This window comes from Homo sapiens, chromosome 10 (assembly GCF_000001405.40).
Source record: "Homo sapiens chromosome 10, GRCh38.p14 Primary Assembly".
Taxonomy (NCBI): domain Eukaryota; kingdom Metazoa; phylum Chordata; class Mammalia; order Primates; family Hominidae; genus Homo; species Homo sapiens.
Window position 1 is genome coordinate 48,807,316 of NC_000010.11, and position 15,297 is coordinate 48,822,612.

The following is a 15,297-nucleotide window of genomic DNA, read 5'->3' on the forward strand; positions in this document are numbered from 1 at the left end:
TTAATATGTCCTTTTGGGCTTTAATGACTCTTCAGAAGTAAAGTTTCTTCTTCCCCTTGCTCCATATACCTCTGCTATGATTTGAGTTCTGTTTTTATTGTAGCATAGACATCCAAAAGCCTAGCCTGGGAGCAAGTTGAAAGCAGGAACAAAGAGAACAAAGACCATGGTCTTCAGCACTCTGTTCCTGATTACTTGCATAATATCAGTGCATAGTAGGTGATTATGAAATGTTGCAGCCTATAATAATTTAAAAAATTCTTCTACTGAAAGGTATATTTTCCTTTATTATTTTTAGGATTTTTGTTTTTTGGAAGATGTGCAGCATTGCAGACATTGCTAATTAAAGGAAACTTCAGTAACATTTTCTGAAATTCTTTTTAAGCATTGTGTGGAGGCTGGAATAAAATGCCAAAATTTTGAGTCCCAGCCATGCCACAATTCCTGGGTGAAATAAGCATTTGGTGAATATGATTGCTTACTGCAGCAAATATTATGTCTCTTTACATCCATTTTCTCTCAAATCTGAATTCTTTTTTGTAGCTGGAAGCCAAACATCTGGAAAGACAATCTGGCTCAGAAACCAGTTGCTGGAGATGCTGCTCAGTGTAATATCTTCCCCCCAGCTTCATCTGTCCTCTGAGTAAGTAGCTCCAGGAAGAGCAATTTGGCAGGAGGTTACCTCATACAGGGTGTGGCATTAAACCTTTTCTTAATGAAAAGTTTAGCATCTCTGAGTCTGTTTTCTGCAATGTATTTCCTGCACTAGTCAGAAAGAAAATTATATTCTCTCTACCCAATGAACCAGACCTTGCCCTAAGATATTCTGATGCAAATGTTAAGTGGACATGAGTAACTAGAAACAGATTTGGTATAATTACAATAAACTCCTTTTGTCACCATAGCTATAGTGTAATTGTTATTGTTTTGGCAGTTGTGACAATTACTGATTTTGATGTCTTGTACTTGGCAGACAATAGAATGAAGAAATCGTGAGCCTAAATAACATCTATCAAGGAAAAGTCTTGCCAAATTCTTCTGCTATTTACTGTTAGTGAGTTTGTTATTTTTCCAAGTTGGAAAAAGAAGTATCTACCGTCAATTAACTTCTAAAATCAAGTGTAATCATAAAGCTGATTCCATTAACTCTCCCCACTGCCTGCCTGCTTTACCTCCAACCTTGGAGTCGTTCATTTGACACCTAATTTGTTGAGCATCTACTGCATGCCAGACACTGTTCCCAGCTCCTAGGATGCAGTGCTGAGCAAGTCAGCCCGGATCCTTGCTCAACCTGTATATGCATCTGGGCTTGGGGGTAAAGAGTTACCCCTCAGTAAAGCAGCTTTATAAATAGTGTTTAATAATTTACCAGCCTATAAATCCTTTCTTTCTTAGAATCAAAACATGGTAGAACTGGAAGATGCCTTGGAAATGAGATAGTCCAGCCACTTTCTTTTCCATCTTTTTGAAAGGGAATGTAGTGCAGTGCCTAACAGCTGGGCTCTGGCATCTATACCTTCCGGGTTCGAATCCTAGCCCTGTCCCCAGGGACCCAGAGGAGGCTACTTAAGCCCTGTATGCCTCTCTCTACTCATCTGCATGAGAATAAAAATTGTATTATGTTGGTGAAAATGTAATTGTGTTTTTTTCATTACTTTTAATGCCAAAAACTGCCAATATTTTTGCACCAACCTAATACTTTCAATAGGTGAGTATAGTAAAGATGAAATGAATTAATATATGGATAATCCTGAGAATGGTGCCTGGAATACTGTAAATTCTCTGTAAGCTAATTGCTATTATGGCCATCTCTTTCATCATCACCATCACCACCACCATCACCATTACCACCACCATCATCACCATCACCATCATCACCATCACCATCACCACCACCATCATCACCACCACCACCACATTAATCACCATCACCACCACCACCATCATCACCATCATCACCACAACATTAATCGCCATCACCACCATCATCACCATCACCATCATCACCATCACCCTCACCACCATCACCATCATCACCACATTAATCACCATCATCACCACATTAATCACCATCACCACCAACAGCATCATCACCATCATCACCACAACATTAATCACCATCACCACCACCACCATCAGCATCTTCACCACCAGCATCACCATCACCACCATCATAACCACTACCACCATCAACATCATCACCATCACCACCAGCATCACCATCACCATAATCACCACCACCATCATCAACATCATCAACATCACCACCACCATCAACATCATCACTGTCACCACCACCACCATCATCATCATCACCACCAACATCACCACAACGTTAATCACTATCACCACCACCACCATCAACATCATCACCATCATTATCAACATAATCACTGAGGAAAATGATCAGAGCACATCAGGAGCTCTGCCAAAGTCATCCAGTTGCTAAACATCAGAGGCAGGGCTAGAAAAGAGGACAGCCTCTTCTCTTCACTCCTAGTCCAGTGCTCATTTCAGTGGATACCAGCCAGATTCTCACTATGCCTAGTGTGTCAGCTGAGAACACAGGTGGAGCCTTCACTTGTTCCCAAAAGTCTGGGTCCTTTGCTGAACCCAGTGTCTTTGGCCAACCCATTGGCCATTCATCTCCCTGCCCTCCTGTTTCATCCAGGTCCCATCAGCAAGTCTGTATTCTCCAGACTCATCATTTTTGAAAGTGACGTTAATCATGTTTCTTTTTTTTTGGTGCTAAAACTGATAAAAATGCATAAATATTGAACTATGCCATTTAGATAAATTTTGACTAGTGTCTTTAAAAAGGGAGGGGAATATTCATTATGTGTTTTATGTGACTACATTGATGGTAATTAAATTAGATGGGTGGCTAGTCATCCACTGTGTAAGTATGAATAGTAGTTATATAGGGCTATTAAGGGGCATGCGCATTTTTACCTATATGAATACACAGTTTCCAATTGCTTCAAAATGCTGTGGCCAACTTACACTGCAACCATTAATAGACAAATGCATCATTTGCACAACAATCTTGCCAGCATTTTATTTTACTATTCTTTTTAAATGTAATACATAATAAGTGATGTTAACCTTAACTTGCCTCTCCTTGGTGACTTGTAAGGCTGGACATTTCATATTTTCTGGACATGTCACTCGCTCATGGACTGAGAGAACATTGGTTGCATTTATTAATCCCCAGGTCAAAGGAAGAGATGTTTCTGAAACTGGGGCCTGACTGGTTCCTGCTGCTCCTGCAGGGCCACCTGCATGCCAGCACCACTGTGCTGGCATTGAAGCTGCTGCTGTACTTTCTGGCAAGCCCCTCCCTCCGCACACGGTTTAGAGATGGCCTGTGTGCAGGATCCTGGGTGGAACGCAGCACTGAGGGCGTGGATATTGTAATGGGTGAGCACGTGGCTGTCTCCAGGGAGTGGGGCACCACCTAGTCCTGGGATGTGAATGAGGACCAAGCCAGGCCCCTTCTTATTTGAGACCATCACAGCTCTGTGCAGCAGGATCACCTCGAGCCCTGACTCCAAGGCCTACATCCAAATGAGCCCAGCCCCCCTGACATCCTTTGCAGGATCCCCCGCAGCCTCACTGCACAGACACTGGAGGCTGCCTTCCATTCCTCCCACCTGCTTAGCCCTGTTCTCCTGGGCACTGTATACTCTGCTTCCTCTTCCTGAGGGGATGCCTCTTCTCCTGATGTGGATTCATCCTGAGATCTCAGTTCAAATGCCACTTCCTCCAGGAGATGAGGGGTCTCCCTGAATTGGGACACCTCTGTTATATTATCTCTGCCCTTATTATTTTTCTCTTTAGTGCTTCACAAAATTCATAATTATTTGAGTATTTAATTGCTTAATGTCTGTCCCTCCCACTACAATGCAAGCTTCATGAGTGCCTGGAATTCTGTATATTTGGTTGAAACCCTACACCCTTGTTGCCTAATTCAAAGCTGCCCTGTTGCCTCCTACATGGTGGGCAGCAAGTATGTTTTTGAGTGAATGAATGAGCATGTCAGGAACAGCAAAGGGAACTACTGTTGAGTGCCTTTTTGCTCCCATCTATGTGTGAATATATTTTATCATCCAGCATTTCTATGGGATGGGTGGGTGGCCGGGTGTTCCTTTGTGTGTCCAGGCCCCACCTTGACCAGCAGCTGTTCTCAGCTGACTTTTGTGCCCCCTTTGCCTGATCAATAGACAACCTGAAGAGCCAGTCACCACTGCCTGAGCAAAGCCCATGCCTGCTTCCTGGGTTCCGTGTCTTGAATGACTTTCTGGCCCACCACGTCCACATTCCAGAGGTCTACCTCATCGTCTCCACCTTCTTCCTGCAGACACCACTCACAGAGCTGATGGACGGGCCCAAAGTAGGTTTTCAGAGCACCCACAGGGTGACACACTTGGTTTTCTGATTCCACATGACTAAGGCAGGTCGCCAAGACCCTCTGCACTTACCTCCCTCTGCTTCTTCCAGCTCAGATGGGGTGCTGGCCCACTTCCCTCCCTAGCAGCCCACACCCTTGGCCAGCCCTTCAAATGCTCCCCTTCCAGGCCCTTGACTTCCTCGGCCTCTGCTCCCATCCTTCCTCCCAGCAAGTCTCTGATTTGGATCAGTTCTATTTTAAAACCTTCCTTTTGGGCACAGCTAGGGGAATGACATGATGCTGGGGTGGCCCTGCCCCAGCACCCCAGCCCCTCATCCTCAACCACCCACTTAGGTCATCATCTTCTTGCCCCTGTTGCTAGGACAGGGAGACTTTTCAAGGCTGGTCATGGATTCCTTCAGCTCCTTCCTTGGGTGACCTCATCCCATAGTTATCCTTTCTTTCTTTCTTTTCTTTTTTTTTTGTTTTTTTTGTTTTTTTTTGAGACAGAGTCTTACTGTGTTACCCTGGGAGAGTGCAGTGGCGTGATCTCGGCTCACTGCAACCGCTGCTTTCTGGGTTCAAGCGATTCTCCCACCTCAGCCTCCCAAGTAGCTGGGATTACAGGTATCCACCACCATGCCTGGTGAATTTTTGTGTTTTTAGTACAGACAGGGATTTTCCAAGTTGGCCAGGCTGGTCTCAAACTCCTGACCTCAGGTGATCCACCCTCCTTGGCCTCCCAAAGTGCTGGGATTACAGGCGTGACCCACCGCACCCGGCCCCCTTTCTTCCTTTTGTATTTTCAGTTTTTCCTTTTCTACCAACCCGTTCCTCATAAGCCATAATTATGTTCAGCTGCATCCCACCTAAAACCAGAGGCTGCCCCTTGATAACACTCCTGACCAAATGCTGCCTATTGATCACTTTCCTATCCTTCCTTGGCCACATTTCTCCAAAGAGGAGTCTGTGCTCACCGTATGCACCTTCTCCCTTGCACTAAATTCAGGTGACTTTCACACCTGCAGCATCAAGGTCAGACTCCATAGCTGGCACCAAGCCCCCTCATCTCTGGCTGCCTGATGTATCTTTCCAACCCAGCTGCAATTCACCCGCCCTCAGCTGTGAGTCTCCTAAATCATCTTCAGTAAGACTGGCTGCTCTGTGCTCACCCACCCTGCTGCCCTTACTCACTCCTCTTTCCCACCATCGTCTGCCTGGTGGGAGTGTCCTCCCTCAGCACTCAGCTTAGATGCTACTTCCTACTTAGACCCCCAGACAGAGGAGACCATTTCCTCCTTTGTGCCTCAGTGTAGTTTACCCTATATGGATGGCACCAATACAAATGTGTGCCTGCCTCCTTAGAAACTGAGCCCCTGAAGAACGGACCCACCTTTCACTCAACTTCCTGGAACCTGACAAATAGCCAACTTAGAAACTATTTCTTGGTCTCAATCGAGTTGAGTTAAACCTAACTGAATTGAAATATGGGAGGGGCGTGGCTTTGCCAAGAGAAGGTTAAAAAATCTACCCCTCTTGTATATCTTTATAATTGACAAATCTAAATATTGACATATGCTAATAGCATTGTATATTACACTTCAAAATAAAGTTTTTAATATGCTGTACTAAGGTCATTGATACCCTGAGTTTTTATTTCTCTAACATATCTCAGGAAACAGATGTCTGCTAAGTGTTGGAACTTGTGATAGATGTTTTACATATTTTATTTTGCTTGATATTTAAACAATCCCATGGGGTAGATAATGTAATTCTCATTTCACAGAGACGGGAAATGAACTGCCAAGAAGCTCAATAGCTTGCCTGAGCTCAGCTATTAAAAAGGCAGAATCAGGCCATCCTGATTCTAAACCCTAAGTTTAGAATCTCTCTATACCTCTACATGCTGAAGTTTCCCCTGAAACCTTTGAATTCTTTATATGTCTTATATAATCTAATTTACAAAAGTTAATTAAAGTTGATTAGCATATTTACTTATGATGTCAGACCAAAATAACTGAACTACATGCCAGTCTCTAGGGGATCTTCAGCACCTTCTTGGAGGTGCTTGTTTCCCTTATGCACCATCTACTGGGGTGAAATTGTTCCTATGGATCAACCACCTAGGCTGCCAGTGTGCTCTTTTGCTTTTCCCACTGGGAACCCCTGGAAACATGATGAACTGGCTGCAAAGCTCGTTCTCTTGGTGAGTAGCCGCAGGTCTGCTTACAGCTCCTGCCTCCTCTTCCAGGACAGCCTTGATGCCATGCTTCAGTGGCTCCTGCAGAGGCACCACCAGGAAGAAGTCCTCCAGGCTGGGCTGTGCACAGAAGGTGCCTTGCTCCTCCTGGAAATGCTGAAGGCCACCATGAGCCAGGTGAGACCCATTCCCCACATGCTGCCCCGAGGAGGTTCTGATGGGAAGGCCAGTTTGGAAGGGTCACCTTGACTTTTCTCTTAGCATCTTCCCACTAATGCAAGTAATTAGCCAGATCCTGTAGAAGAGGTGAGGTAAGTTCCTAGAGTGACTCAGGGGCACAACTGGAAACCCAGCCTATAGGTCTCTGAGCTTTATGTGCTCTTGCAGGTGATACCTGTTTATCATTTGTTTAAGCATGGGATTTCTTCACTGGAAGATTTATTGCCTTCAGTCAAAGGGAACATTTCTTAGGAGGAGGAAGGGCCTCTCCTCTCAACGAGTCCATCTCCTCGCTCATGAGTGACCTGGGGAAGGGACCTGACTTAGAGAAGGCAGATGGCCGCCAGCTACAGGCAGGGCATGGAGTCTTCGGGAGTGAGAAGCCTTTAATTTGAGCCTTCAAGGTCCAGTAGAGGTGGGTGGTGAGCAGAAGAGTTATTTTAGACATTGGGTAGAGGCCATGTGACTTGTGAACAGGAATAATTAATGGTAAGCCAGGTCAGGGAGGGTTTCCAGAAAAGGCTGAAAAATTCTGACTTCATCCTGTAGGCACCAAAGGCAATTGGAGGCCTGATTGTATGGGGAAACTTACTGCTTTTGTAAAATGATACATGATTACCTTTAACATTTAAACAAAAGGGAAAAACAGAAAGTAAACAACACCCACCTGACACACACCCACCCAAAAATGAGCACTGTGAATTTGGTGGAATCTTTCCAGATACTTCTCCAAGATTCGACCATATCCTCACAGAGGATGAGACCACATGTACCCCTTTTGCCTTTTTTTCCTCAATATTTGTGGACCTCTTCTCATGCAAATAAAGTGAAAAAACATGGTAATCATTTGTATTTGTAATGGAAATTGATGTTGTTTTACAGAGTGTTGTTTGTAATGAACTTTCTTAAACAAATATCTTTCTTTCTGTCTTGATGACCTCTTTAGTGTATTCTGGGATGTAGTATAGCAGGTCAAAGTGTGCCTTCAGGCGTTTTCTTTTGGATGTACTTCTCAGAAAGATTGCATTAGTCATTATGCATACACATCCCACCAGCAAATATCTAACTCCTTATCTTGTTCAGAAGGACTCAGCCCCATCCTCACAGCCTCAACATCATGGCCAAACTGATGATGGCTTCATAGTTGAGTTCTTTTGCATTTATTATTTCTGAGGTTGAAATCATTTTTCATATGTTTATTAGCTATCTTTATTTATTTTCCTCTCTCTCTATTTTCCTGTCAATTGCCTGATTATATCTTTTGCCAGTTTTTCTGGGTGTGTGGGATTATGCTGAGAAAGTAGAGATCCCACTTTTTGCCCTTTTTGAAACAGATTTTTTTTTTCTTTTTTGAGACAGGGTCTTGCTCTGTTGCCCAGGCTGGAGTGCAGTGGTGTGATTTCAGCTCACTCTAGCCTCTGCTTCTCAGGCTCGGATGATTCTCCCACCTCAGCCACCCGAGTAGCTGACACCACAGGTGTGCACCACCAATGCCCAGCTAATTTTTGTATTTTTGTAGAGACGGGGATTCATCATGTTGGCCAGGCTCAGAAGTGTTTTTATCGTTATTATTAGATACCCTTTTAGCACACAGTTAGATAATCCTATGCTTTTTTTTTTTCTTTTAGCCAGTTTCCTATGATGAATTACATCAATAGATTTCTTTGCATTCTTTCAAAGACCTCATTTAGTCACTCTGTCCTTATTCTGTTTGTATTTTCTTTATGATTTCATGCATCCTATAAATGATATTAGTCTGCAATTTAGTTTTTGTTGAAAAATATTTTTCAGGTTTTGACATCAGTATTATGCTAATATTATATAAAAAAGACTTCTCTCCTTTCTTTGTATTCAGCAAGACGTTAAATCCATGATTTTTATATTATTTTAATTGTTCCTATGAAATTGCCTGGACCTAAATTTGTCCCATTATTATTGGCTTGTTTAGGCTTTTAAATGTCTTCTTGACCTAGTTTAGTTAATTAATATTTTAAAATAATTTCCCATTCATTTAATTTGCACAAATGGTCTCCTTTAACTCATGTCATTTTCTGTGTGATTGTTTCTCCCTTCGTATTCTCAGTTTGTGTCCTGCTTTCTCCTTCTTGGACTCTCTTGTGACTTAGGAGTTGAAGGCTTGTGGATTTATATAAATAACCAGCTCTTGGGTACATTTATCAGTCTCCTGATTTTATTTCTGTCAATTTCTAAGATTTTGATTTTGGCGTCTTCATTTTTTGTTATGTTCTGGAATTTCTGTGACTGTAGTGTTAAAGCTCTCTTTGATTCACATTTTCTAATGTCCATGTGGTGAAGATTTTTGGTTTTTAAACTTTTGTTCTCTATTTCTAGTTATGTTTTGGCCCTGCTCAGATCATGTGATCTGTATATTTTTCATCTTCAAGAAATTTATTCATGGTTTTATTGTAGGCCTAATGAGCAATTAATTTAGGGGTACCTGAAAAGATGTATATTTTCTGTATGGAGCATAAGGAATCTGTTACCTGTTTAATCAATTAATGTTATTCAAAATAAAGCAAACAAAAGGAATCACATGCAAGCATTTAAAACAAAGAAAATATGTAATATGCTGAGAGAAGTAAAAATATAAGACCAAACATGTATGTCATAACAGCAAACATAAAAAGGTTAAATTTCTATATTAAAGATGTGAATTTTAGACTTGGTGAAAAACAAGACTCAGACTTCTAAGATCTAACATGTATGTATATACAACAATAACAAAGTTACTCAGTGAGTTTGGTACAATCAAGATCTGTGTCAGGAAAGCATCATCTACCCAATACAGTAGACAAGTATCAAAAATAAAAGGCAGAAACTTAAAAGATAAGAGAAAAAGGCTAGGGGTAAACATAGAACCTACTTCAGAGGGTTGTTGTGGGGTGAGAAGAGGCATATGTATGAAGCCCTTACAACGTCTGCACATATTAAACCCTTCCTCAATTGGACACTAGTGTCTGGTGCTAATCTGCAGTCTTAAATAATGTATCTTGTTGAAAGTCTCAGGAAGGAATCTTCTCCCTAGACCTCAGCTCCTCTGGTTAGGGAGGCAGCGCCCATCATGCTGCCCTGCACTACCTCTCACCAAGTGTGCCTCAGCCCCTGGCAGGTTCTGAGGATGGTGCCTGGGCACAGACCTTCCCGGCCAGCGTGCTGCAGTTCCTCAGCCTCGTCCACCGCACCTACCCCCAGGACCCAGCGTGGCGAGCCCCGGAGTTCCTCCAGACCTTGGCCATAGCCGCCTTCCCCCTGGGAGCCCAAAAGGTAGGACATGCTGCTGTCCCACCCAGAGAGAGCAGTTGTGAGCATCATCATCCTTCAAGGGCAAAGGGCAAAATCCCTCCCCTCCCCCCTAAAATTAAAATACATTTTAAGGCAACTTGAGCGGAACATTGAATAAGCAGCTTGGATAACCATCCTTTTTTGGCTGAGATACACCTTGAGGTCATTTTCAGCTCTGAGATTCAATAATTTTTTTGAGCTGTTAAGAATCTCAGTAATGAGAAGTCTAATGGCAGATAAAGTCCATTGTCTGTGGCATACACAGGCACTGACAAGGGGAGACAGTGACTCCCATTCCAGGAAGTCTGCTGCTGTGCACCACATGGGGGAGGGCAGTCCTGGGAGTGCATCCTGCAAAAACTTTTGCTCTTGGGAACCCTCATCCAACTTGCAGGCCCCTGGGCCATGACTTGTGTGCCCTTCTAGGCAGTGGGTTTGCAGAGGCCCAGCTTAGAGCCAGACAAGCCAAGGGGAGGGCAGAGCCTGATTTAAGGATGAGGTCTTGGGTCTTATGCTCTGGGGGTTAGAGAAGGGGCTATGGGAAGACATGTGAGTTTGAGGCCTCCAGCTAGGCCCAGCAGGTCAAAGCTTGGCTGGGTCAGGGCCGTGTGGGACTCAGGTAGGCTAAGACCTCCTGGGAGCTGGGAAGCGAGAAGGAGGTGAGGACTAAAGAAGAAGGTCAGGTATGGAAGAAGGAAGGGCAGAAATTCACACAACCACCCCCACTCTGGTGGATTAGGAAGTGGAGACCCAGTGAGGGCAAGTGAGCTAACCGTGTCTTCCTGCAAGTTGCCAACTGTAGCTAAAGGAGCATATTTGAAAGGTGAGCAATGCTACATAGGGGGGTTTATAATCCATGCCAAGTGTGATGCCAGGCCTGGAGTGGTTGCTCCATAAACATTTGCTAAGTGCCCAAATGAATGAGCAACATGCTCTCTTAGCTAATCTTTTCCAGAAGCATACCCATGGCGGCAGCCTCCATCTCCTGAAACTGGTGCTTTAGAAAACCTGAATTGCCACCTGATGAAGGTGGTGTCTGAGAGGGGAAGCTGAGATTCAGAGAGGCAAAGTGGCACTCACCAGTTTCCTCCAGGCTCACTGAGGGTCACAAAACCCATCTCCCAGATTGATTGCAAGAATGAAATGTACTGAACTTCATGCGATTAACAAGAGACGGAGCCAAAGTTTAAATCTCACTCTTACCCCAAAGCCTTGTCCTTTTCATTACAGTCAGTTTAAAATAAAATTAAATGGCCAAATAAACTTTAAAAGTAGTTTTAATAAAAAGACTAAATATAAAGACCAGAAGTTTCACAAAAAGATAACATAGTTTTGAAATAGTTTGATGAATTCATATCAAGTAACTTACTAAAAAAGTAAGATAAAAAAGCAAACAAGAGTGAAGGAATGCAGCGTTGTTTGCAGGAGAGAGGTGGGATAGGACCCACAGCCAGAGGCGCAGGCAGCCTGGCCAGGGAGAGATCAAGGGCGAGCCTACAGGCTCCCCCTCGACACTTCCCTGGGCAGGTTTTCTGCAGGGGTCCAGCGGCCTAACATTCTCTACCCAGATGCCCAGCTCAGCCCCCATGCCCAAGGGCCAGGCTCGCCATCTGCTGAGTCGGGGCTCCAGCCGAGTGCCCCCGCCAGCAGCCCAGGTGCACACTCTGACCCAGGGCTCCTGCTCCCCATGGTCAGCAGTTCCTGCCCAGGGGAGGGTCTGGCCCAGAGTCACATCCCCAGCTGATCGCGGGCGAGGTCGGGCTTTTGTCTTGGGGCTCCTGGCTCTAATTCCAAGGTGTACCTCCCAGCCATCCTTGCCTTTTTCAGCGCTCCAAGTCAGCTCTGCCAAGGCCTTTGTTGTATAGAAAACATGCCAGACCCTCTTCATGCAGAAGGCTGGTGGCCAAAGGCTTGGATTTGCTGTGAATTTATATGGCATCTTTCCAATCAAGGCCGCACGGAGCTAATTAATGCAGTCACTACCTCCCTAGGTGCCATTAAATTCATTTTATGGCTTAATTAAGAACGGCCGCATTAATTTTATGAATGAGCAAAGGGAGGTGCTAACAGATGAATGCGCAGGAGAAGTTCACGGGCTGGGAGTCAGGAGTCCCTGGCCGCGTGTCCTTGGGTGAGTCATTCAGCCTCCAGCATCTCTGTGTCCTCCTGGACGTATCTGGGGTAATGACCCCTGTCTCGTTGATCTCCCAACATTTTATAAATATAAAACAAAATAGTGGATGCCAAAGTGCTTCAGAAATTAGAGGAAAGAACTCTTTGGAGTCCCACTTCTCCACCGTTCTTGCCTGAGGAGCCTGTCTGTGGGCATCAGCAGAGACTGGGCAGGAGGTAGAGGTGGGGTCCCCATCACAAGATGGGCACCGACTCTCTCTGACTGTCTACCAGGGGCTGGGCATTGCCACGTTCGTTATTCTCTCATGTCATTCTCCCAGATCCGGTGTCAGATGGTTTTTATTGTCTCTATTTAACCGATGGGGAGCTGTGGCTTGGAGATGTGAAGCAGCTTGCTCCTGGCACATTCTGGAGTTCATCATGAACACTGCAGGCCTCTCTGACTCTGTGGTTTAGCTTCTTTGCACAACACTTGGCATCTCATATTCTCAAACAGTAGCAGGCCACTTTATGAGCAGCTGGATCCTGGGCAAGTTGCTTTCCTGTGCGGAGCCTCAATTTCCGTACATGTCACTGGGCATGACAATAATCCGCCCATGTACATGGCACAGGTTGGTGGGAAAGAGCTTGAGGCAGGGCAGGCCACTCATGTTGGGGTTCTCTTGTCTTTGAGGGGGTTGGGGCTGAGTCCACCCGGAACACCAGCAGTCCTGAGGCCGCAGCTGAAGGCGACAGCACAGTGGAGGGTCTCCAGGCTCCCACCAAGGCACATCCCGCCCGGAGGAAGCTGAGGGAGTTCACGCAGCTCCTCTTGAGGGAGCTCCTGCTTGGAGCCTCCAGCCCCAAGCAGTGGCTGCCCCTGGAGGTGCTCCTGGAGGTGGGTTGGAAAAGGTGACATTGGGCCATGTGCTGTGGAGGCTGCCGGCATACCGGCACTGCAAGGGCAGGATGCACCCAGGGAGACAGAGGGCCTGGGGGCCACAGCGAGTGAAGGGGAATCTGTGAACCATGGGCCCCAAAAAAGCAACAGGTGATAGAGGAGTGAGCACAGAGTCCCTAGAAGCAGAGCCTGAGGTGGGAGTTTTGTGGAAGTGAGTTATTGGCCAGTGGGTTGGAGGCGGTGTTCTCAGGAGAAGCAGGGAGGGAAGCAGAGGGGCAGGAGGTGAAGCTAGCCCAGAGGTGGTCCCAGCTGGAGCCTGGCCCAAGGGGGGTTCTGGGGTGCTCTCTGCCTCCCAGGGCCGGCCCCACCTGTGGCACCTGACAGGTGGCCGTGGGCTGTGGGCTCCCCTGACTTGCCTCCTTACCCTCGGAAGTGGGCGTTGCTTCCTGGATGAGGCAGCTCAGTCACAGAGGGTGGGCCCCCAGAGAAGGGAAAATTGTGAGCAGCCCACACTGCTGGCAGATGCGGCATAAGTGTCCCAGCCAGGCTAGGGAGGCGGTGGGCACTGGGTGCACACGATGGCCCTGTGGTTGCTGTCTCAGTCCCGGGCTGTGCTTCCAGGCTTCTCCAGACCACGCCACCAGCCAACAGAAGCGAGACTTCCAGTCCGAGGTCCTGCTTTCTGCTATGGAACTATTCCACATGACAAGTGGAGGTGATGCAGCGATGTTCAGAGGTGAGTGGGGCAACTCGGTCCCCTCCATTCATGACATGAGGCTGCTGACAGTGGAGAGGAAACCAGCATGCTGGCCAGGAACTGACCCTAGCTGTGGGATGCTGCCTCCACCTGGCGTCAGTCCCTCCAGGCATCATCAACAAGAACTCCCTGGCTCCTGCCTTGGGGCCCAGTGGAGGGGTGCTTGCTACTTTCCATGACACCCTTGTCATGCTGTGCCACTTACAGACAGAAAGCCCTTTTGCCTCTAAGCAAAAATCGGCTCTCCTGTAGCCTCAGTAGAAATGCAACCTCTTCCCATAAGGGAAACCAAGATACCACAATTTAACCTTCCGTGCTCAGCATTCTGCCTGGGTACGGGATAGGTGCACAGCTGATGTTTCTTAAACAATGAACCTGGATGAAGATGCTGCCATGCCCCTTCAGAGCTTAAAATTGAAGGTTCATTCAAAAAACTTGGTTCCAGGGCAGCTGTACCTTTTCAACAAGCCTAAACAAAAGCCTTTTCTGTGGTTCCCAAGCCACAGGAATCCCTAGGAACATGAGTCCTACTCTGGACTTCTCCTTGCCTCCTACTCAGAAGCCCTGACTTCATGATCCTTCTCATGGAGAGACTGGAATGCAGGAGAGTAGCAGGGTGGTGAAGTGTGGGTTTGGCAATCCCAGTTCTGGACTTGGCTCTGCCACTGGACAGTCATGCGACCCTAGTCAGGTGCCTGGACCTGTGAGTAAGGACGACAGTCGTGGTGAACTCACAGGGTTGTGCTAGGGGTTAGTTGAGATCATCACACACATGGCTGAGCACAGTACCTGCTGTGTTGGTGAGCATAGATGGATAATGACAGTATGGCTTTATCCTCTGCCTAGTGTAGCAGCAGGGCCCCTGGTCATCATGATGCCTGCTCATTTGTCTCAAGCAGCACATTCTCCCCCATCCTCCTCCAAAAAGCCACAGGAAGAAATGCTTCACCTTGCTTGCTTTCTCACCACTTGGTTTATGTCGCTGACCAGATTACTCAAGATCTGTTCATTTTGATTAAATGTGTGTGTGTTGGGCACCTCGTCAGTACAAGACTCCATCTTTGGAACCATGGGGTACACAGAGGTGAATAAGATGCAGTTGGTCACTACAGGGGGCTTGGAGATTGTCATGGACAGAAGTCCATTTAGACTCTCACCTCCACCTGTCCCCTCACTCCACAGACGGCAAAGAGCCTCAGCCAAGTGCAGAAGCTGCTGCTGCCCCTTCTCTTGCCAACATCTCCTGCTTCACCCAGAAGCTGGTGGAGAAGCTGTACAGTGGGATGTTCTCGGCAGACCCCAGGCATATCCTCCTCTTCATCCTGGAGCACATCATGGTGGTAAGAGCTGCTCACTGACCGGGTATCTGTGTGGATCTGAATGATGTGCTCCTGGCTATTGTCCAGTTGGTTCCA

The 15,297-nt window shown here is 46.2% G+C and overlaps 1 protein-coding gene across 13 annotated transcripts in view; it reads left to right on the forward strand.

The window, feature by feature from the left end:
• The window catches only part of WDFY4 (WDFY family member 4), a 298,084-nt gene that overhangs the window by 122,443 nt on the left and 160,344 nt on the right, over positions 1-15,297 (forward strand). For 11 of the 13 annotated variants that reach the window (XM_011539988.3, NM_001394531.1, XM_017016463.2 and 8 more), the window contains 8 exons: positions 544-643; positions 3,215-3,420; positions 4,224-4,393; positions 6,642-6,767; positions 9,930-10,094; positions 12,919-13,122; positions 13,747-13,861; positions 15,065-15,222. In XM_011539988.3, coding sequence (XP_011538290.1) covers positions 544-643; positions 3,215-3,420; positions 4,224-4,393; positions 6,642-6,767; positions 9,930-10,094; positions 12,919-13,122; positions 13,747-13,861; positions 15,065-15,222 — 1,244 coding nt within the window. Of the gene's footprint in view, positions 1-543; positions 644-973; positions 1,627-3,214; positions 3,421-4,223; positions 4,394-6,641; positions 6,768-9,929; positions 10,095-12,918; positions 13,123-13,746; positions 13,862-15,064; positions 15,223-15,297 lie in introns of those variants that run through there. The other 2 variants (NM_001370153.1, XM_011539992.3) reach the window with 1 other exon arrangement.